At 56.9% G+C, this 19,476-nt stretch overlaps 1 protein-coding gene and 1 long non-coding RNA gene across 10 annotated transcripts in view, besides 14 other annotated features; one reads left to right on the forward strand and one right to left on the reverse strand.

Moving 5' to 3' along the window:
* Positions 1-7,429, reverse strand: part of KCNH2 (potassium voltage-gated channel subfamily H member 2) — a 33,361-nt gene extending 25,932 nt beyond the window's left edge. For 3 of the 9 annotated variants that reach the window (NR_176254.1, NM_000238.4, NM_172056.3), the window contains exons 1-2: positions 6,946-7,429; positions 3,819-4,049 (exon numbers count right to left, since the gene is read on the reverse strand). Coding sequence is in view for 8 of the 9 variants with exons in the window: in NM_000238.4 (NP_000229.1) it covers positions 3,819-4,049; positions 6,946-7,021 (307 nt within the window). In the remaining variant the exon portion in view is untranslated. Of the gene's footprint in view, positions 1-3,477; positions 3,615-3,818; positions 4,050-4,132; positions 4,150-5,697; positions 5,867-6,945 lie in introns of those variants that run through there. The other 6 variants (XM_047420348.1, XM_047420349.1, XM_017012196.2 and 3 more) reach the window with 4 other exon arrangements.
* Positions 1,149-1,662: an enhancer, noted in NCBI's record as "H3K4me1 hESC enhancer chr7:150669129-150669642 (GRCh37/hg19 assembly coordinates)". NCBI's record gives its function as "activates a minimal SCP1, AML or CMV promoter by ChIP-STARR-seq in naive H9 embryonic stem cells {active_cell/tissue: H9 hESC(naive)}" and the evidence as "EXISTENCE:reporter gene assay evidence [ECO:0000049][PMID:30033119]".
* Positions 3,564-3,633: a silencer, noted in NCBI's record as "silent region_18785". NCBI's record gives its function as "represses an Ori minimal core promoter by ATAC-STARR-seq in GM12878 lymphoblastoid cells {active_cell/tissue: GM12878}" and the evidence as "EXISTENCE:reporter gene assay evidence [ECO:0000049][PMID:35858748]".
* Positions 3,734-3,783: a silencer, noted in NCBI's record as "silent region_18786". NCBI's record gives its function as "represses an Ori minimal core promoter by ATAC-STARR-seq in GM12878 lymphoblastoid cells {active_cell/tissue: GM12878}" and the evidence as "EXISTENCE:reporter gene assay evidence [ECO:0000049][PMID:35858748]".
* Positions 4,174-4,323: a silencer, noted in NCBI's record as "silent region_18787". NCBI's record gives its function as "represses an Ori minimal core promoter by ATAC-STARR-seq in GM12878 lymphoblastoid cells {active_cell/tissue: GM12878}" and the evidence as "EXISTENCE:reporter gene assay evidence [ECO:0000049][PMID:35858748]".
* Positions 4,426-6,463, forward strand: LOC124901776 (uncharacterized). The gene is made up of 3 exons (XR_007060592.1): positions 4,426-4,583; positions 5,644-5,819; positions 5,953-6,463. It is a non-coding gene; the product is annotated as an uncharacterized LOC124901776 (long non-coding RNA).
* Positions 4,801-5,727: an enhancer, noted in NCBI's record as "H3K4me1 hESC enhancer chr7:150672781-150673707 (GRCh37/hg19 assembly coordinates)". NCBI's record gives its function as "activates a minimal SCP1, AML or CMV promoter by ChIP-STARR-seq in primed H9 embryonic stem cells {active_cell/tissue: H9 hESC(primed)}" and the evidence as "EXISTENCE:reporter gene assay evidence [ECO:0000049][PMID:30033119]".
* Positions 8,097-8,446: a silencer, noted in NCBI's record as "silent region_18788". NCBI's record gives its function as "represses an Ori minimal core promoter by ATAC-STARR-seq in GM12878 lymphoblastoid cells {active_cell/tissue: GM12878}" and the evidence as "EXISTENCE:reporter gene assay evidence [ECO:0000049][PMID:35858748]".
* Positions 17,330-18,330: a DNaseI hypersensitive site, noted in NCBI's record as "HS1; the nucleotide coordinates are approximate for this feature". NCBI's record gives the evidence for it as "EXISTENCE:in vivo cleavage assay evidence [ECO:0001075][PMID:11013235]".
* Positions 17,330-19,476: part of a biological region, named in NCBI's record as "NOS3 5' regulatory region", that runs on past the window's edge. NCBI's record gives its function as "regulatory_interactions: NOS3".
* Positions 17,500-17,540: an enhancer, noted in NCBI's record as "eHRE". NCBI's record gives its function as "mediates response to hypoxia when multimerized" and the evidence as "EXISTENCE:reporter gene assay evidence [ECO:0000049][PMID:12963737]".
* Positions 17,500-17,540: a protein binding site, noted in NCBI's record as "eHRE". NCBI's record gives the evidence for it as "EXISTENCE:protein binding evidence [ECO:0000024][PMID:12963737]".
* Positions 17,500-17,540: a protein binding site, noted in NCBI's record as "eHRE". NCBI's record gives the evidence for it as "EXISTENCE:protein binding evidence [ECO:0000024][PMID:12963737]".
* Positions 17,500-17,540: a protein binding site, noted in NCBI's record as "eHRE". NCBI's record gives the evidence for it as "EXISTENCE:protein binding evidence [ECO:0000024][PMID:12963737]".
* Positions 18,047-18,206: an enhancer, noted in NCBI's record as "269 bp enhancer (-4907/-4638)". NCBI's record gives the evidence for it as "EXISTENCE:reporter gene assay evidence [ECO:0000049][PMID:11013235]".
* Positions 18,177-18,197: a protein binding site, noted in NCBI's record as "FPD". NCBI's record gives the evidence for it as "EXISTENCE:protein binding evidence [ECO:0000024][PMID:11013235]".

Genomic DNA, 19,476 nt, shown 5'->3' on the forward strand with positions numbered 1-19,476 from the left:
CCACTTATACACCAATCCCTGTCCCACCTGCCTTCCCAGCCTCAAGGCTCCCCTTCAAGGAAAAGCTTCTTTCATCCTCAGCTCAGACCCAGGGGGCTGAAAAGAAGCAGAAAGTGGGTGTCTGAGCTGGGGAGGGGTCAGCCATGAGGGAGAAGGTGAGGCGTGGTGGTGACAAGAGCAGGGCGTCTGATTTAAAGGAATGGGCACAGGAAGAAATGAAGAAGGCAAGGAAGAAGACAGGACAGACGGCCTTGGGGGACGGAGAAGGGCAGGAGGCCCAGAGGAGTGGGGCTGATCACAGGAGGTACTAAGGATTTCAAGGCAGTCTGAGGTCTGAGGCCTGCAGGAGCACTGGGGAGGCTGGGTTCCAAGGCCGGGGACAGACCGAAGCCCACTGGGCGTGGGGCCACCTCTGAGGCCCTGGGCACAGTGCACTGGGGAGCAGGCCTGGACAGCAGGTCCCCACCCCCTCCCAACAGCCGCAGCATCAGCTGTTGCAGTGGGGGGCCCTCTGACCCTGTTACCATGGCAACTGGCCTGCAGCTGGAGTGGAGAAGCTAATAGACTCCTCTCCAGAGACACCACCGTCCCCACCCACGCACAAGCTCCCGGGGACACAGGGACATGGAGCCAGGCCAGGCCAGTCAGAGGTATGAGCAGCCAGACAGAGCCTTCCAGATAGAGGCTCCGAGGGGTGGGGGACAATGGGAGAGAGGGAGAGAGGCAAGGAGCAAGGTTCCGGGGTGCTGAGGCGAGGGAAGAAGACAGGAGGAGGCACCAGAGAGGAGATAAAGACCAAGGGACAGAGAGTAAGCCAGGCAGGCAGAAGACAAAGGCAAGGAGATGTGGGGAGTGAGAGAGGAGCCGAGAAGGTGGGCACAGTCAGGCTGGCTGAGCACGGTGGCAGGGAAGCAGGGAGCAGAGGCAGGAACAAAGAGCAGAGAGGATGCAGGGGGACAGAGAGAAGGGACTCTGTGAGGACTGGCAGAGGAGGAGCCACAGCCCCCATGGCGATGTGGGAGCACAGGTGTGGACCCAGCCAGCACCTGCTGCCCGGGGTGCCTCCCCAGGGCCTTGCGGGGATGTTACCGCCAGCCAGCCTCACACCACTGGACTCTGCCCCCAATTCCACCTGAATCCCGGGCCTGACTTCAAGGGGCACAGGGCCAGTGAGCCCCAGGCACCTCATGTCTCTCCCTTCAGCCCACACTCCCCCAGTCTAGCCTCCCCACCTCCCAGCAGTCCCAGCAACTAAATAATGGGGCTGTCTGGCTCCAGGCCCTGACACTGCGCAGAGCAAGGCTAGAGGCACCAACACAGCACAGCTGTCCACGGCGGCGCCTGCCAGCAGAAGGCTCCACCTCCTGCCCAGCTCCCCCTACCCGAGGCTGGCCCAGGCAGAGACCCTGAGAAAGGCCTGGACAGAAACAAGGGGTGGCGCAGGCATTCCTCACCTCCGCCTCCCTACCAGGCCCATGTGTGAGTACACACACAGGCACGCACACACGCAGCCCAAGCCAGGTCCCGGGGATCACAGGAGGGACTGAGTGTTTCAAGGCAGAAGAAGCGGAGGCTGAGGAAATCTGTCTGCATCACCCCAGGCCTAGAATGCCAGGATACATGGGGTCCTAGGTGGCTGAGTGCCAGGCCAGCCTGTTGGCCAACAGGAGACACCTGAGCCCCGTGGAAACTAGGTGAGAGTGAAGAAGGGGACAGACAGAGATTGCTGGCACAGAGTTTTCTGGGTCACAGCCCCATTTTTTGGAGTTGTAACCTGGAGAGGGGACAAGTTTGAACTTGGGCTGGGGATCTGGGTTCTAATCCCACTCCTTCCACTGATTCACTGGTCATCAGACCTCTGCTTCTCCGTCCTTCCACCTGCAAGTCGAATGGGTTGGATTAGGTGATCCCACAATAACTCCTCTGCAGAAGGGGGCCCATAGCCATCCTCTCCAGAAGGGGCCAGCCTAGACTGGGAGGGAGGGCCAGCTCCACCTAAGAGCACTCCACACATACCACAGCCAAAGGAAAGAGCCCTCAGCCGCTGCTGCCAAGAGGCCAAATCCCCAGCACAGCTACATCGTAGTGGGACTGGCACCGTGTTTACAGAGCACGGCCCGTTGCAGGCACTCTCTATGAAAGCTCAGCACCCTTGTGAAGGTCCAAAGCAAGGCACGTTATCCCAGAAGTAGAAACAGGCCCAGGGAAGTCAACCAACTTGTCCAGTAGTGTATAATTTCCAGCATTGTCTTAGACACAAACCCAGGACTTATGGGTTCATATTCTTTTCAGTACACCTGTGGTTGGCAAACTTTTACAATAAAATTTCACATGAGATAATGTACAGCATACAGATAGACCTGCAACTACCTGGTGTCATTTTCAATATATGACAGACAGAACAGAGCGCACAGGGCTCCGGTCAGACAGATGTGGGCTCCGTTCCCAACTGCTATTTTCTAGCTGTGTGACTGTGTGAACTTCAGTTTCTTCATCCCCCAAAATGAAGACAACAGTAGTGTCTACCTCCCTGGGTTGTGAAGAGTGCCTGAGATAAGAGAAGTAAAGCATTTGGCCCAGTGTCTAGCCCCTAGAAACCATCCACTGCCTTCAGGGTTTGAGTCTAGTCTCACAGCCCCTGCCTCCTGCCAGTTAGAACCCTGATTTGCTGTGAGCGAACCTTCTTCCACAGGGTGCAGGGACCATGCCCCCTCTAGTGCCGTCCAGTGATGCCACAGACTGTGCACGCCTGCAAAAGCACAGCCTGGAGGATGCAAAGCTTTGCAGGGCCACCCCAGCCAACCCTGAGCACACAGGGCTGGCACATGGGGCTGGCTGGCCTGGTCCCAAACAGAAAGCAGAGCGTGCTCACTGTCTACAGCAGACAAGCTCCCTGAGGGCAGGAGCCTCATCTGTCCTGCCCATCTCCAAGAGCCTAGTGCCTGCCAGGCTCACAAGGGTTGAGTCAATGCTTATGGGACACACGCTAGGAAGCAGCAAGGTTTGCACGCGTTCCAGAGCCGCCTCTGCAGCCGGATTCTGCCCACAGGACCCCAGTCCTCCTGCTCTGCCCGCCCTGACCAGAGCCCACCCCAACAGGGCATTCACGGTGTGGGAGCAGCCCCACCCCGGGCTCTGTTTATCCGCTCTCCGGAAGCCCAGAGCAGCTGTGCTGGGAGGCGGTGGCTGAGTAAAGACACCTGGCGCAGGAGAGGGTGGCAGGGCGGGGCGCTCGACAGCTGAGACAAAGGGAACTGAGGTTGCGGGGAGAGGCACGCACCTCCCCCAGGTGCTGCTGAAGCGCAGGGCAGGAGGGGGGCAGCAGAGACAGCCAGAGTCCTGCAGCCCTCCTGTCCCTCCATGACATCTCCCAGACCTGTCACCTGGCAGCAACTGCCCTAAGGTAGATAGGGGCCTGTGCCCGGATGTCAGCGCACAACTGCCAATCTGACCTTTAACCTCCATCCACGCACGTACCTGCCATCCCAGCTCGGTCTAACTCTAGTCCAACTTGCTCTACGTGCCCACACCTGCCCAGGGAAAAAAAGGACCAGAGGAGCCAGACCCACAGCCTAGCAACTCCTTTGCCCTCCTGAAAACCATCTCAGCAGAGTGAGGCGCAGGCCCCGGAACCGCGCCTCCCACAGGCACACCGCAGGGCCCCCGCCCGCGTCACACCCCCACAGAACCCTGCCCGGGCTCGGGGCGTTCTCCAGCCGCCCCCACACCCCCACACCCCCACGCACCCTGCCCCTCGCCGTGGTCCCGCCCCTCTTGACCCCGCCCCTGGTCGTGGCCCCGCCCCGGCCCGCTCCTACCATCTTTCCGGTAGAAGGCGATTTCCACTTTGCGCTCCTCGGCGCCCAGCAGTGCCTGCGCGATCTGCGCGGCAGCGCGGCGCTGCGTGCGCGGCCCGTGCAGGAAGTCGCAGGTGCAGGGTCGCTGCATCACCTCGGCCCGCGAGTAGCCGCACAGCTCGCAGAAGCCGTCGTTGCAGTAGATGACGGCGCAGTTCTCCACCCGAGCGTTGGCGATGATGAACTTACGGCCTAGGGGGGCGGGGAGGAGAGTGCGCGTGAGCGGGGACCCCAGCCTCCGGGACTCCCAGCCCTTCCCCACATTCTCCACTCACACAGCCGCCCGGGGACTCCCCGCCACAGGAAGCATGGCTGGGACTGGGGTCCCAGCAGGGGGCGAACGCAGCTGTGCGTGTGCCCCGATACAGGTGCCTGGCCGGCCGGGCCGCGCGGCGCGCCCCCTCCTCCGCCTGGCCCGCGGGCGGGCTGCGTGGCTTCCCCCGGGCAGGCCGCCAGCAGCCCGCCGCCTCCTCCATGCCCGAGGCTGAGGCCAGCCTGGCGGGTGTCAGCAACGCGTGTCAGCAGCCGCGGCGGAGGGATAAACACTGGGCCTAGAAAGGGAGCCTGGGAAAGGCCAGAGATGGCGGCCAGGATTCCCTTTGCATCGGCTCTCTGGATTCTGCTTTTAATTTCCCTGCTCTCCAGACTGGGGGGCGCTCCCTGAGCCACTCCTTATCCTGAGGCTCCCTAGGAAATCACTCCCCGATTATCTGAGGATCCTACCAGGTCAGTACCCCCTAGAACTTCTGCACACCACCCCCGCCCCAAGGGCAGTCAGGAGCTGAGGGGTGGGTGTGCCAGAGAGGATGAGGGAAGTTACACGTTGAACACCTAAGGACGCTGCATCTCATTAGGTCCTCTGACAACCCCATAAGGTAGGTGTTATTATCCTCCTTTTATAGATGAAGAAACCAAGGCTCCAGAGAAGTTCGGCACCATGCCCAAGTCTTGCAGCTTGTAAATGATAGAGCCAGCTTTTGAACCTTGGTCTGGCAGAGGCAGAAGAATAAGCTGAGGGTCACAGGCAGAAGCCCAAGGTCATAGGAAGCAAAGAGAGGGACCTGCAGCTCCAAACCCTGGACACACCTGGAGCCTGGGCGGGGCCTGAGACTTTGGCCCCACTTGTAGGAAAACAGACCCAAGAAAGGGGACCTGCCCAGGGATGTGAGGCCTTCCTCAGTTTGGCCTCATCCTGGATGAGCACCCCCATGGTTCCATTTCTGCCAGACTTGGCTCCCTGACTCCAGGCCTGCCCGGAGAGCCAGGCTGGCGAGTGAGCAGCAGGCAGGCAGCAGCCTCACTTGTGCCAGGCAAGATGCTCCTGGGATAAGAGCTTTTTATAAACAGAAGTTTCCGGCCACTTTGGCCTGTAATGCTGGGGCTTTCAGTAGCAGTTGGAATTCTCCCCCTCCCTTCCCCTCCCCTCCCCAGCAAGCATAGCCCTCAGGTTGCAGCCCTAGGCAATCCTACGTGCAAAGCTGGGCTGCAGCAGGGCACCCTGAGATAGGCCCAGGCCATCAGGACTTGGCCTCCTCCCACCTTTCTCGATTCTCCCTTCCCCTGGCCCCCAGAAAGTTGCCTTTTGGAACTGGTTCATCTTTTGGCCAGTTCCCAAGGCCCCCCAGACCTCCCAGGCAGCCATCAATTCCAGGAGTCAGGGTTTCCTGTCACCTGAAAAGACCCCCTAACTCGGCCTCCAGCTCTGCCACAGTCCAAGGCAGTCCAGAGGCCCAGCCACACACCCCAGCTTCATAGAAGAAAAACCACCCCTTGTCCTCTCTCCCAGGCTGGGGAAAGAAGAGCAAGTTTCTTCGAAGGCATGCCCCACCCCACCACACACCCTTCACTGAGATCCTGGAATACAGGGATGGGACAGAAAGCCTGCCCCTCCTCCACAGACCTGGAACCTGAGACCCAAAGAGGGAAGAGTCACTCAAGGTCACATGGCAGTCAGTGGCAAAGGTAGGGCTAGAATCCAGCACCCCCCCCCACATCCATCCCAGCCTCCTCGTAGGCCCGCCCACAGCCTCCCCCTGGGCCCACCCCCACCTCTCAGGGAGGCCCTCAACCAGTGTCATTGTCTCCACCCCCTCAGGATCATCTTGTTCCTCCGCTTCACACAATACTGACCATCGGACTGACCCCTCCTTCCCCCAACCACCGTTACAAGCACGCGTTGTCCTGTGCTCACAGGGTCATGGACAAGGAATGTCATCCTCTCCCAACTCCCAGGGCCCTTGGCAGTCACACCCACTGTGGCTCATGCAGCCTTAGGGACAGGCACATGAATGCTGCCCACCCCCAGGACATTTGCCTAATCTGGGACCCTTCTAGAAGCCTCCCTACCAGGCAGGCATTAGGGGTGCTGTACTCCCGGTCCCCATAAGGGAATTAGGTGACAGTCTCCAGGGCAAGAAAACCCACAACTTGGGGGTACCACAGGGAGCTGCTTACCCTCAAAGCCCAGCTCTAGCCCCAGGACACCCTGTCTCCACAGAGCCCACAAGCTCGCAGCCTTGTCAAAGACACCTCCCCACCGCCCATACAGGGTCTAACTCACGGGTGACACATGGGCTCAGGGTTATATACACACGGCACACACAAGAAGAGATTATGAGCTGACCCTGCATCCACGGCTTTTCAGTCCCTCCGGCACAACACAGTCAAGATCTGGCAAGACCAGTGTGCGCGCTGGACTCTCGGGATCCCAGGGTTTGGGTCGTACACACTCTTATGCCCTTGCACACAGCCCCATCCACGTCCACGCACCCAGAGTTGGGGACACCTGCACACTCCATCCCACATCCCTTCCCTGCACACTCAGCGTGTCACACACACTCCGATCCCAAAAGCCTGAGCTGAGTTTCCCGCCCCAAGCCCCAACCCCAAACCCTTTGGCCCGGTGCCCACGGCCCCGGTGCACCAAGCCTTGCCCCCGCCGTCCCCTCGCCAAAGCCTGGGGCCCACCAGGCCCCATTGACTCGCACTTGCCGACGCACACGGCCCGGGCACGCCCCCCCATCCACACTCGGAAGAGCTCGGCCCGCCCCCAGAGCCCCCTCCCCGCTCAGCCCCCTCCCCCACTCACTCTGGCCCTCAAACTTGCGGATGATGGTGTCCAGGAAGGTGTTCTGCGGCGCGACGTGGCCCCTCCGCACCGGCATCCTGAGCCCATGGGCGGGCCGGGCGGGCCCCCACCCACCCCGGCCCGGCCCGGCCCAGCACTAGGCTTCGGGTGGCCCGGCCGGGCCGTGGTCCCCGCACCCCGCGGCCAAGCCGAGCACGGGCGCGGCCAAGACTGGACTGCGGGCGCCGGGTCCTCGCTCGGCTCCCGGCTCCCCGCTCCGGACCCCGGGCCCGGCCTGGAGCCGCCTGAGCGCGAGCCGCCCGCCGCCGGCACACCTGTCTGCCGGCCCCCGCCGAGCCGCGGGGCCCGCTCCGCCGCGTCCCCGCGCTGCGCTCCGCCCGCCCGAGCCCCGGACTCCTGGCTCCCGCCTGCCACCGCGCCGACAGCCGCTCCAGCGCCCGCGGCTCGGGCAGCGCCTGCGGCTCGGCCCGGCCGCGGAAGGGTTAATGCGGCGCGCGCCCCTCCGGCTCCGGCCCCCGCCTCCCGGCCCCCTCCCGCCTGCCGCGCGCCCGCAGCACCGCCCTCTCCCCCCCCCATCCCGCCCCACCGCGCGCGCCCGACCTTCCCATTGGCTGAGCCGCGCCGAGTGCTCCCCCAACGCCAGCCCCTCGCTCTGCCAAGGAGCCCCTGGGACTCGCGCGCCCAGAAGAGGGGGAAGGGACCCTTAGGCAGGGGAAACCGTGAGGACAGGTGCCATGGCCGGCTTGTAGGCGGCCGGGATGGGGGAAGGGATTCCACCCCCACCCCAGATTAGCGACTAAGAAACCTGATTTGAAGGGAAACGGCGGGTCCTTATGCCCTGGTTCCCCACCACGCCGAGCACTGGCTTGGTATACACAGCACGCGCTCAGTGCCTACTGTGGGTGACCGGGGCAACGCCTGGACCCTCGAAGACGAGCCCGGAGTCAAGGGAGACCCTGGAAATAGGAAAAGCAAGACAATCTGAAGGCCCCAGAGCAGCAGAGCTCTGAAATAAGGGAGGGTTAAACTTAGAAGGGGCACGCCCCCTGCCCCAACACACACACACACACACACACACACACACACACACACATACACACACACACACACACACACACACACACACACATACACACACACACACGGAGAGAGAGAGAGCCCTCTGTGGGGCTCTGCATAGGAGCTGCACAGAGAGGGACATTCTGACAGCAGTTGCGGCCTCCTAGCTGCAGGATCAAAGAGAGGTCCCTGAGCGCGAGGTTCCAACCAGGGGATCCCCGGGTGCGAGCGGCCCGCCCTCCCCCGGCAGCCCGGGGCCAGCCTTGCACGCCCAATCGGCGGGCTCGGGGCCCTGCGGCGGCGGCCACGGCCCAGCCCCTCGGAAAGCCCTGGCCTAGCCGCAGGCCCCTCCCCCCGGCCAGCTGGCTCGCTCCAGCTGCGGCTCCCTTATTTAGGCAAGGAGGCCTAGGGATGCTCAAGGGCAGGCGGGGTGTCTGCCCCGCCGCCTGCTCATCGCCTGCTTGCGTCTGAGTGAGGGTCTCCGGGCGCGGTGTCCTCGGACTTAGCAGTCAGGCAGGGCCCCGGGAAGGCCAGGGCGGGGAGGCGAGTGTTGACAGCTGAGTGGGCGGGCGGGGAGGGAGGAGTCGCAGCTGAACAGCCGAGGGTCCCCTCCCTGCAGCCGGATCAGAGACCTGTCTAGATGGATGGGGCCATGTGGGGGCTCCTGAGGGCTTGCAGCTGCCTCTGTCCTTGGAGCAGGGGCTGGGTCTTGTCACCAGCGAGAACCATCATGGGGGGAGGGGAAGAACAAAGGGCAGGGAAGGAATCGGAGTCCCGAAGGAGGAAGGCGCAGAAAACTGTCGTCGTGAGACCACCCTACCCGGACTCTCACCTTCCACCCAGGAGCACAAAGATGCAAACACTGGGGCCAAATGGGGCCACTGGCCAGCAGATGACACTCTTTTTTATTTGCTGGTGGGTGGGCAGTGACTCAGGGAGGCAGCCAGTGGGAGAGAAGGAGGTGGCTCCACAGCTGATGCTAAAAAAGTCCAGAGGCTCTTGCCTGTGCAGTTATTCCTCAGGCCCTCTCCACTGCCAGCAGTTTCCTCACTCACCCCCCCGGGGGCCCAGGGCCTTCCACAGCACAAGCTCCTCCTTGGTGTAGCATTTGGCATCAGGTGCATCAACACATCTGGGTTCCGGGTAGAACCTAGTCCACGACTGGCCCAGCCCCCGCCACGCCCCAAGGCCACCCCTGGCTGCTGGGTTGCCTACCATGAATCCAGGATGATTCATGTGTGAGTGAAGTGTCCTCCTGTCCAGGCCAGGGGATGGAGAGAAAGTGAGCAAAGGCCAGCAGCTGAGAATGGGCATGGGAGGGCAAGAAGGGAAAGGGACATCTGTAGCCTCCCCCTCTCTCCAGACCAAGGGAGAGGGAGAGCCAGGCCCTGAAGGGAAGGAGCCACTCATCTGAGCTGGCCAGCTGTCCTCCACTCCTGTACCCGTGTTGCTGGGACAGGCCTCTGCTCTTATCCCAAAGGGAAGACAGGAGTCAGAGGAGCCCTTCATCCTCCCAAACAGAGAGGAGCCCAGGCACGGGGTAGCCCTCCTTCTGTGCACAGAGGCAAGAAGAGAGCTGTTCCCTCAAGCTGAGGAGAGACAGATCTCTCCCTCTCTCCCCCCAGCCCACTCCACATACTCAGAAGTCAAAGCTGAATGTAGATTTCTGACTTCCTTGGAGGCTCAGGGTAGAGCCTGAAGGCAGACCCACTTAGCCGCCCCCACACTCAAGAATTGAGCTGAGGAAGAGAAACGGTGAGAGGGGGCAAGCTCTCCCCAAAGCAACATTTCTGGGCCTCAGATGAGCTGATGGAGAAGCCCCCACTGCCTTCAACTTCCCACCTCTGCTACCCCCAGATCTGGGACAAAGAGAAAAGTGCCCAACCCTAATACCAAGAGCTGGGCTGTTAAGCCTCTAGAATCTGCCCCACCCCCATCTCAGCTCCAAGAGCCATTTCAGAGACCATTCCTGGGAAGAGCTCTCCCGCACCCTGCCTGTGACTGAGGGAACAGAGAGGCTACAGTGAGATATCCAGGCTCCTCCCAGCTCCCAAAAAGAAACAATTTAGGGAGAAAAGTCTGCAGAAAGCATCCTACCCACCCTGCTCTCTGCTCCTGCTCAGTCCGAAGGCATGGAGCCAGGACATCCTGGAAGGAGAAAGAGAAATGGAAGCCCACTCTGCCAGAGGTCCCCCAAGGAGCGGGCCAGGCAAGACACCACCAAAGTCAGGCCCAGGAGAGCCTGGGGTTACCCACAGGGGATTGGGAAGCAGTTCCAGTCGGCTGGGCACAGGAGAGACAGGTTACAGAGCAATGGTTCCTGGGAAACCCTGGGGAAGGAAGAACAGAGTGAGCAGGTCCCTTGATGCTTGAACACGGTGGGTTTTTTTTGTTTTTCTGTGCAACTGGGTCCCCAGAATAGAGATTTTTTTCAGATGTGAACTGGAGTTGGAGAAGAAAAGAATCAAAGAAACAGCATGTTTCCCCTCCAGAAGTGGATGATCAGGGCTTATTGATAGAAAGAAGGGAAGTAGGAAGGAAAGAAAGAAGGAAGAAAGGATGGAAGGAACCCGCCTGAAACCCCTAGCCAAGAGCCAGGACACTCTTCACTCATCGCCCTCTGCAGCTCCACATGTAGCAATCCTGCCAACCCCTGGTCCATTCCAAGGTCTTCTCTGGACAACCTGATCCCCACCTTTGGTGGGACATTTTCCCTGCCTTTGTGGTGTCAAAAGAAGCAAGTAAGGCCCTGGAGACTAGGATTCGGGAGATCTGACTTCTAATTCTGGTTCTGCTACTAGTTGCATCGACAAGTGTTTACTGGGGGCTTTCTAAGTACTGGGCCCTGTGCCAGACACTGCTGGGGGACAAGAGGGATAAGCCAGGATCCCTCCTCCAGGGATTCACAGTCTAGTGAGTTTTGAGGGAGACGGTGGGCAGACAGAAACTGCAGTCTGCAGTCAGTGCTGTGGGATTACGAGGAGGTGTTGGTTAATTTCAACCGGAGGAGTCTTGGAGGGCCTTGCCAGGGAAGGAGATTTCAGTGCAGGTCCTTGAACGTTGGAGGTGGGGCAGGGCAGAAGCATTGCAGATAGAAGAGACAACATAAGGATATATAAAGAAAGGAGAATGGAGATTGGGTCTGAGGACAAAATAATTTGATGTGGTGGCAGTGGAGCAGCAGGCTGGCACCATTTGCAGAGGGATGAGGACTATGAATTTTATTATCTCTGCAAGGGGGACACAGTAGTGGCAGGAAACAGTAAGGAAACAGTAGTGGCAGCTGAATGCAGAATCCATGAATGTAAATATTCTGTCTTTGTACAGACCCTGGCAAAGAGTAGGTATCCAAGAAAGGTTTGTTGATTGAATGAAACGTGTATAATAGTTTGGAGAAAATGAGGTGGATATGAGGTTTTTCCATTACCTATTGCTGCATAACAGCCATCCCAAGATCCAGTGGTTTAGTTGGATATATTTTGCTCATGGATTTGCAACTGGGGTAGTTTCCACCAGGACCACTTTTCTCTGCTTTACTCCAAACTAGAGACTGGAAGGTTCATCTACTTACGTTTGGTGGTTGGTGCTGGCTGTTGGCTGGGACCTCAGCTAGGACTGGGGCCAGACAGCTACACAACGCCCTTCTGTGTGGCCACTTGGCTCCCTCACAGCATGGTGGCTGTGTTCCAAGGGCCAGTGTCCCAAGAGAAGACCAGTCAGCAGCTGTATCTCCTTGAATAACTTAGCCTTAAAAAATCACATAAAACAACTTCTGCTGTAATCGTGACCCATCAGATGCAAGGAGAACAAACACAGACCCCCACCTCTCAGTGGAGGGGTGTTGCTGTCACACTGGAAGAAAAGCATATGTATTGGCACGACCACCTTGGGAAAATATCATCTGCCACATAGAGCAATACAATAGTCCAAGGGAGAGATGCCCAACACTTGAACCAGGTCAGAGGTGATGGAAAAGGGCCCATTTGTTGTGTAACTTTAGGAGTACCACTAAATCTCACTTTCCTTACCTGTAAAATGAGGAGACCAAACAAGCTGATCTCTGAGATCCCGTCCAGCTCTAGCAGTGAGTGATTCCTTAATTCCACACAGCAACACACCCACCCATGAGTGGTTCCTCTGTTTCTCCTCAATAGCCATCTTCACCTCCACCTCTTGCCTCTGCTCTCTCATCCTGGGTGCACTTGGAGCCAATGGTTACTCCACAAATAGCACCATGATCCATCCTGCATATTTATGTCAGACTAAAAATAAGTGGTGCAGGAGACCCCTTAGGACAAGATAGAAGCCCCCAAGACTGATCAATCTCCCATTTTATCTGCTGTGTTTGCATCACAGTAGCATCTAACTGGAAACCACAAACACAGGGAATTCATTATCTAACCGGGAAAAGAACCAATAGGCATGAAAAAACTTGGATATGAAATGTCAGAAGAACAATCTGGTGATGTTGAGGATACGTGGAGGGGTGTTCAGAAGAAGGAGGGCTCTGAGTGGGCTGGGTCAGCTCGGAAAATTTCCTGGGCGATTTTGGTCCTTCTGCATGGTAAGGGCTTTCTCAGGTACAAAGGAAGGTGGTGAACATCTTCATAAAGCAAGATCCCAAGAGGAGTCAGGTGTGGGTTTCCCCACCAATCTATACTTACCCCCAGATGAGAAAGAGAAGGGGCCAGTTTCAGTTTCCTCTGCCTGAAAACTTAATAGTCATCTGTTCCTTTGATTTAAAGACTGGGATTTTTAGACACAAGAAGGGGCTTCAAGTGAGGCTGCAAAACTTAGCAAGTACTAGAAGCTCCAGAATTACTATATAGGAGGGACTGATGGGGAGAAAGAATCCTATTATAAGGAGGCTGGGACATTTGTCTGAAGGTTGAATTTGCATGTATTCCTTTTTAAATGTATTTACTAAGCACCTAATGTGTACCTAACACTATTCTAGAAAATAGGTTGGTTTTGTTTTAAAAAATGCCCTGAGAGTTTGCAGAACTAGTGCACTGTTTTGACATATATTAGGGGGTTTATTTTTGAGTGCCTTCAAAGGATTAAAAAATATGAAGAACCAAGACATGCTTTGGGCAACCTTGCCAGGAAAGCTGGCCCTGGAGGAGATCCCAAGCTCACTTGGCTACTCAATGCCTCCAGCCAGGTTGGAGCTTTGTCTCTGTCCAAGGTGCTGAAAATACTTTACGGCAGGCTCAGCAGAAAACCAGGGAGGGCAGCCCAGGTGACAAGACTGAGGCACTCTTCAGGACACAGTGCATTAGATGGTCACCCCAAATCCTGAAAATGCCTCTGGAGCTGGACAGTAGCTCCTGGAGGCAGCACGGGGTGAAGCAAGAGCTGGGTTTGCCAGTCAATGCTGAGAAAACCATGTCTCATGTGCTTTCAGAGTGTGCCTTCCTCCCTCACTCCTCTGACAGCCATCAGGAAAAGATATGAATAAACCCCTGAACTTTACACTTGCAACTCTTGGGATTTCCTTTGGGAGTTTCTGTTGCTTTATGAAATATTAGAGCCAGAAGCAAACACTTTCATATATTAGACAATAAAACAGATATTCACAGTGACAAGGACTCCGCCTCAAGGTTGTGCCACAAGTTAGAAATGGAGCTGGACATAAAATAGTGTCTCCTGGTTCTTAGTTAAGTGATTTTTCCACCACACCAGGCCAGGTGGGAGATTACATACCACATATAACAAGAGCTAAAGAAATTTGAGATATGTGTGTGAGAGAGAGAGAGAGACCAGAGAACTCCAGATACAGAGGTTGCTCTGTCAGCTCTCCAGAACTTTTGCTGTTCATTCTGCTGATATCGGGCAGAATTAAGAGCCTACCCCAGCTTGGAATAAAAATGCTAACCCAACACTAGCTTCATATCCTAGCCCATCCCAAGGATCATCAGCTGCTGAGTCAGCCAACACCAAGGACCTGAGAAGAGAACTCAGGTTCAAATAGGTCTTGCATGGTCAGGAACGGTGGCTTACACCTGTAATCCCAGCACTTTGGGAGGCTGAGGCGGGAGGATGGCTTGAGCCCAGGTGTTCAAGACCAGCCTAGGCAACATAGCGAGACCTCATCTCTACAAAAAGAAAAAATTAGTTGGGTGTGATGGCACACACCTGTAGTCCCAGCTATTTAGCAAGATGAAGCAAGAGGATCGCTTGAGCCAGGTAAGTCAAGGCTGCAGCTACCTGTTAACTTTTCTTTTTCTGAGATGGGGTCTCACCCTGTCTCCCAGGCTGGGGTGCAGTGACACAATCATGGCCCACTGCAGCCTTGACCTCCCGGGCTCAAGTGATCCTCCCACTTCAGCCTCCCAAGCAGCTGGGACTACAGGTGTGCGCCATCATGCCTAGCTAATTTTTGCATTTTTTTTCAGAGACAGGGTCTCACTATGTTGCCCAGTCTGGTTTTGACCTCCTGGGCTCAAGTGATCCACCCTCCTCAGCCTCCTAAAGTACTGGGATTACCGGCATGAGCCACCATGCCCAGGTGCAGTGAGCCGTGATAGCACCACTGCACTCCAGCCTGGGTAACAGAGTGAGACCTTGTCTCAAAAAACAAAAACAAAAACAATAAACAAACAGGTCTCCCACTCCATCTTCTCCCTGATATACCCACAAACAATTATCCAGAGCTTTCTATGTGCCCCCCACTGAGAAGTGTTCCTAAGGAAATATATGATATACAATACAGTCCCTGGCCTTACAAAATTTGCAATTCGTTGAGAAGACAATATTTTCACCCATGATTAGACAATATTACAGGAGCCAAATACAAATAATGGCAGCTGACAAGAGAAGTTACACAGTCCTAGATCCCAAGTCTAAGAAGTGGTGCAGACCATGAATGCTTTTTCTTTTTCTAAAAATGTTATTCATTTTTGTAAAATAGAGACAGGATCTCCCCATGTTGCCCAAGCTGGTCTCAAACTCCTGGGCTCACGCGATCCTCCCACCTGGGCCTCCCAAGGTGCTGGGATTACAGGTGTGAGCCACGGCGCCCGGACAGACCATGAATGCTTTGACTTCAGGGTCTGAAGGAATCGTTTTAAGGCCAGAAGGATAAGGGAAGGCTTCACAAGGGAGGAAGGCTTCGCAAGGGAGGAAGGCTTAGGGAGAATTTGGCTGAGCTGAGAATTGTGGTCAGGACCTCATCTCTGTCCCTCTGGGGGACCAGCAGTCCAGTGCAGGGCCAGACAGAGCCAGTGAGGGTGTGAAGGTGACGGCAGAGGCCTATTGCAATGCTGGGGCGCTAAATGTCCAGGAAGAGCGCATTCGATCTTTCCCGGCTGAAGAAGAACAGGCCCTGAGAGCTCCCCCTTCTGGATCCGCGCAGCAGAACAACATCTCCTCTAGGAAGTGGGCTCAGCAGTGCCCGGCTCAGCAGTGCCCGGCTCAGCAGTGCCCGGCTCAGCAGTGCCCAGCGCAGACGGGGCTGGTGCTTAGGAAACCAGACGACAGACTGGGAACCCCATTTCCTGGGAGCCCCTCGGAAGCCTCAGGTCATCATCAACAGCAAATATGTCAGGGACGCCTCTGGGAGGTCACTGGGAGTCGGGCATGTAATCCATTTGGGGAGAGCAGGAAAAAAGACAAGTCACCAATGACTGAAGGTTCTCCAGGGCTTGAAGTCAGGATTTCCACATCTCACAGATCAGCAGGGGGCTCTAAAGGCTGCTCCTCCCACCCTGGTCTGGAGAGAGGGCCCAGCCCCTCCTGGGGGCACCTGAGAGGGTTCTGTCCAGACGATCCCAGTGACAGTTGCTGTGGAATTTCCATGCTGGGCACACTTGAGGCCCAAAGCTCCGATTCCCAAGAGGCGCCACAGCAACCATGCCAGGAAACTGGGCCAGGCTGAGGGTGGCAGGAGAGGGAGACAGGAGGAGGCAGGAAGGGGGCAGGGCCTGTCAGATGGATCCCTGACAACCATCCGTCTCAAGTCCGAGGTAACCTTATATCTTTGCCTCAGCAGATAGGATGACTTTGTATGTAGGGCCTTCAGAGCCCAAGACAGGGCACCTATGGTGAGCATTCAGGAGGCCTCAGCCTGCCCCTGAAACCCCCTCGTTCTCACTCTGGATCCCCGGAATAAAGGACAATTTCGGCCAGGCGCTGTGGCTTACGCCTGTAATCCCAGCACTTTGGGAGGCCGAGGCGGGCGGATCATGAGGTCAGGAAATCGAGACCATCCTGGCTAACACGGTGAAACCCCATCTCTACTACAAATACAAAAAAATTAGCTGGGCTTGATGGCGGGAGCCTGTAGTCCCAGCTACTCGGGAGGCTGAGGCAGGAGAATGACGTGAACCCGGGAGGCGGAGCTTGCAGCGAGCTGAGATCACGCCACTGCACTCCAGCCTGGGCAACAGAGCGAGACTCCATCTCAAAAAAAAAAAAAAAAAAAAGGAGGAAATTTCAAGTTCCCACGGATGGGAAAGCCTTCATATCCACACAGATGCTCTTGGCCCAAATTAGCTTTGGAGGGGCAGGGCCCAGATGAGGAGGCTGGTCAGTGAGGGAGCCCAGGATGCACAACCCATGGACAACTGCAAAACTGTGAGGGGGGGAGCTCCCCAGCTGGGGAGCAGGGAGGGGGCACAGGGAGATGCTGCCCCGCCCTCAGGTGGGCTCCCTGGGGCAGAGCCTGGTGAACCTCTTCCAGAGACGCTTCTGCCTCCTGGCTGACAGACCCAGTGACCTGGAAACCCAAGACCTTACCCTGGCAGTGGCAGGGGTCTGCCAGCCTCTGGGGGCTCTTGGGAGTCTGGACCAACTTCCACCTTCCCAAGGGAAATGCAAGAATCTCCAGGCCTTGATCAACCTTCAGGTTTAGATTCTTCCTTCAACACCACTGCCCTGAGTGTGTGTGTGTGTGTGTGTGTGTGTGTGAGAGAGAGAGAGAGAGTGCACGTATGCATGGATGTATGTGTGTGTGTCCGTTTGTTCAGGCTGCTGTAAGAAAACACCAAGGACCGGGTGGCCTAAAGACAACATAAATTTATTTCTCACAGTTCTGGATGCCGCAGTCTAAGATCAAGGTGCTGGCAGATTCCATGTCTGGTGAGGACCCACGGTTCATAGACAGTGCCTTCTCACTGTGTCCTCACATGATGGAAAGGTCTGGTGAGGACCCATGTTCATAGACAGCGCCTTCTCACTGTGTCCTCACATGATGGAAAGGTGAGGGATCTCTCTGGGGTTTTTTTCTTAAGGGCACGCATCCTATTCAGGAAGGTTCCTCCCTCACGATCTCAACACCTCCCAAACACCCCGCCTCCTAACACCATCACCTTGGGGGCTAGGATCTCAACTTATGAATTTGTGGGGAAATCAAACGTTCCCCGAAACATTTGTGTGTGTAAGAGAGTATGCATGGATGTATGTGTGTGTGACTGTGCATGCATGCATGTATATATGTGTATGTGTGTGCATGCATGCATGGATATATGTGTAAGAAAGTGTGCATGCATGCATGGATGTATGTGTGTGCGTGTACGTGTGTATGTGAAGATACCTCCTGAGCCTTCGGTTTGACACACCCCATGTGGTCTGTGCAGGAAGCAGGGAGGCGCAGATTTGTCCCAATCTGCTCCTCTGGGGGTGGGCCCAAATGAGCCACCTTGGGACCCCAGATGGCTGGTGTAGACCTACCACCCGATGCCGTTGGCTCCTTTCCTATCCCCTGGGTCTCCCCCTCCCTTCGTGGTGTCTGATCCCACGATTGTGCTGAAATCGCTCCTCCTCGGCTCTCTGCTGCCCTCATGTGGCTGTCTCAAGAAGGGCTGGGGCTACCAGGGGGCGCCCAGGATCAACACAGGAGCCCCTTCAGACCGGCAACCGCGTCCACAGCCCGGAACCCTCAGCATCCCAGAAGCCGCCCCAACGCCCTCACCAAAGGCTCAGCACCAATTCTGCAATCTGGAAGCTGAGCAAATCTCTCCGCCCCCCAGCACTCAGCATGAGTTACATCCTCGGGAGGGGGAGGCCTGGCGGCAGCTGCTCCCCGCCCCTCTCCCGCTGCTCCCGCCTCCCTTCCCTCCTTTCCCCGCTCCCCACCCGTCCTTGCCAGCAGGCAGGAAGGAAGCTGCTCATAGTGCAAGGGTGGGGTACTTCCAGCTCACACTGAACAGCCCCGGGCTGGGCTATAAAGAGTCAGGGACTTCCGCTCAGTCACCCCTGCCCTCACCACCCAGGCCCCCATGCACACACCCCAGGCCCAAGGCCTTCCCTTCCCAGCACAGCCCTCCAAGGTCAAGGCGTCCCCCGCCCAGCCCTGCAGAGCACTCTGGTCTGAGAGGGAAGGCAGGGGCAAGATTTGCCGCCTCTTTGGCATTATGGAGGGGGCAGGGGGCACAGGGCACAGCCCTCCCCAGGGAGGGATCCCTACTCACCCACAGAAGGCTGTCACCTTACCCCTGGGGTCTGGGCCAGCCCTCCCCGAGGCGGAAACACAGCCACTGTCAGGGACAAGGGGGCTCAGTTCCCAACCAGATCATCTCCAAAGCCCATTCAGCTTCAGATCTCATGATTGAAGATGGAAATTCTTTCAGCCGAACACCAAATCTCCAACCTTGAAAACTGTTTTTTCGGAAAGTCCTCTTTAAAACATGGTTACCAATATGAGCAGTCAGCCACTAAGATGCATGGGCATCATTCTTGGCAGGGCTGCAGGCATAGAGCAGGCCAGCACCAGGCAGAGCCCTGGGGACGGCAGGCCTCCTCCGACAGGCGGGGGAATCAACTGTTCTCATCAGAGCACCCTGATGGAAGGCAGGACACTCCGGACAACACTGGCCACGGCCCAAGAAAGGGGAAGCAGGGAATCCCCTGTCCAGAGAGCATTCATCTCTGACTTTTTCTGTCTGTTTAACTTTTTTTTTTCCTCCTTTTCTTAAGACCCTGCCATGGCATCCTCTGCCCCAATTCAAACCCAATCCAGGCCTACTCTGACCCTCAGCTTTCAGCGCTGACTGTACTGAACTGGACCCCATCCTCCCTGTGACCCTCAGCCTTCAGTGCTGGCTGTACTGAACTGTAACCCATCCTCCCTGTGGCCACAGAGTGCTCCTTCTTGCACTCCTCCCCTTCACCTAGACTGACTTCTTTCTGCCCACACAGACCCATCTAGCCTCAGCCAATTCCCTTCTCAGTGGACCCTCTCCATTGCCTCCAGAGCACAGCTTCCAGTCCCCAGGCGGCTGCACACATTTGCAACAAAACAAGCCAATGTATGAAGCAATCCCACTCAGTGCAGGAGCTCAACCCAGCAGAGGATCCCCACAGAGAGGAACTGACCTGTGTCTTCCAGAGCACACAGGTTCAGAGCACACAGGTTCATTTAAGTGAGAACCCACACTTACAGAGCAAGCTGCCCAAAAACCACGACCAGGAGGGCCCAGAGAAAGAGCTGTCCCCGGGGCCTTGGGGACAGGGTGACAGCCACCCAGAGAT

The sequence above is a fragment of the Homo sapiens genome, chromosome 7 (genome assembly GCF_000001405.40).
Source record: "Homo sapiens chromosome 7, GRCh38.p14 Primary Assembly".
Lineage (NCBI taxonomy): Eukaryota > Metazoa > Chordata > Mammalia > Primates > Hominidae > Homo > Homo sapiens.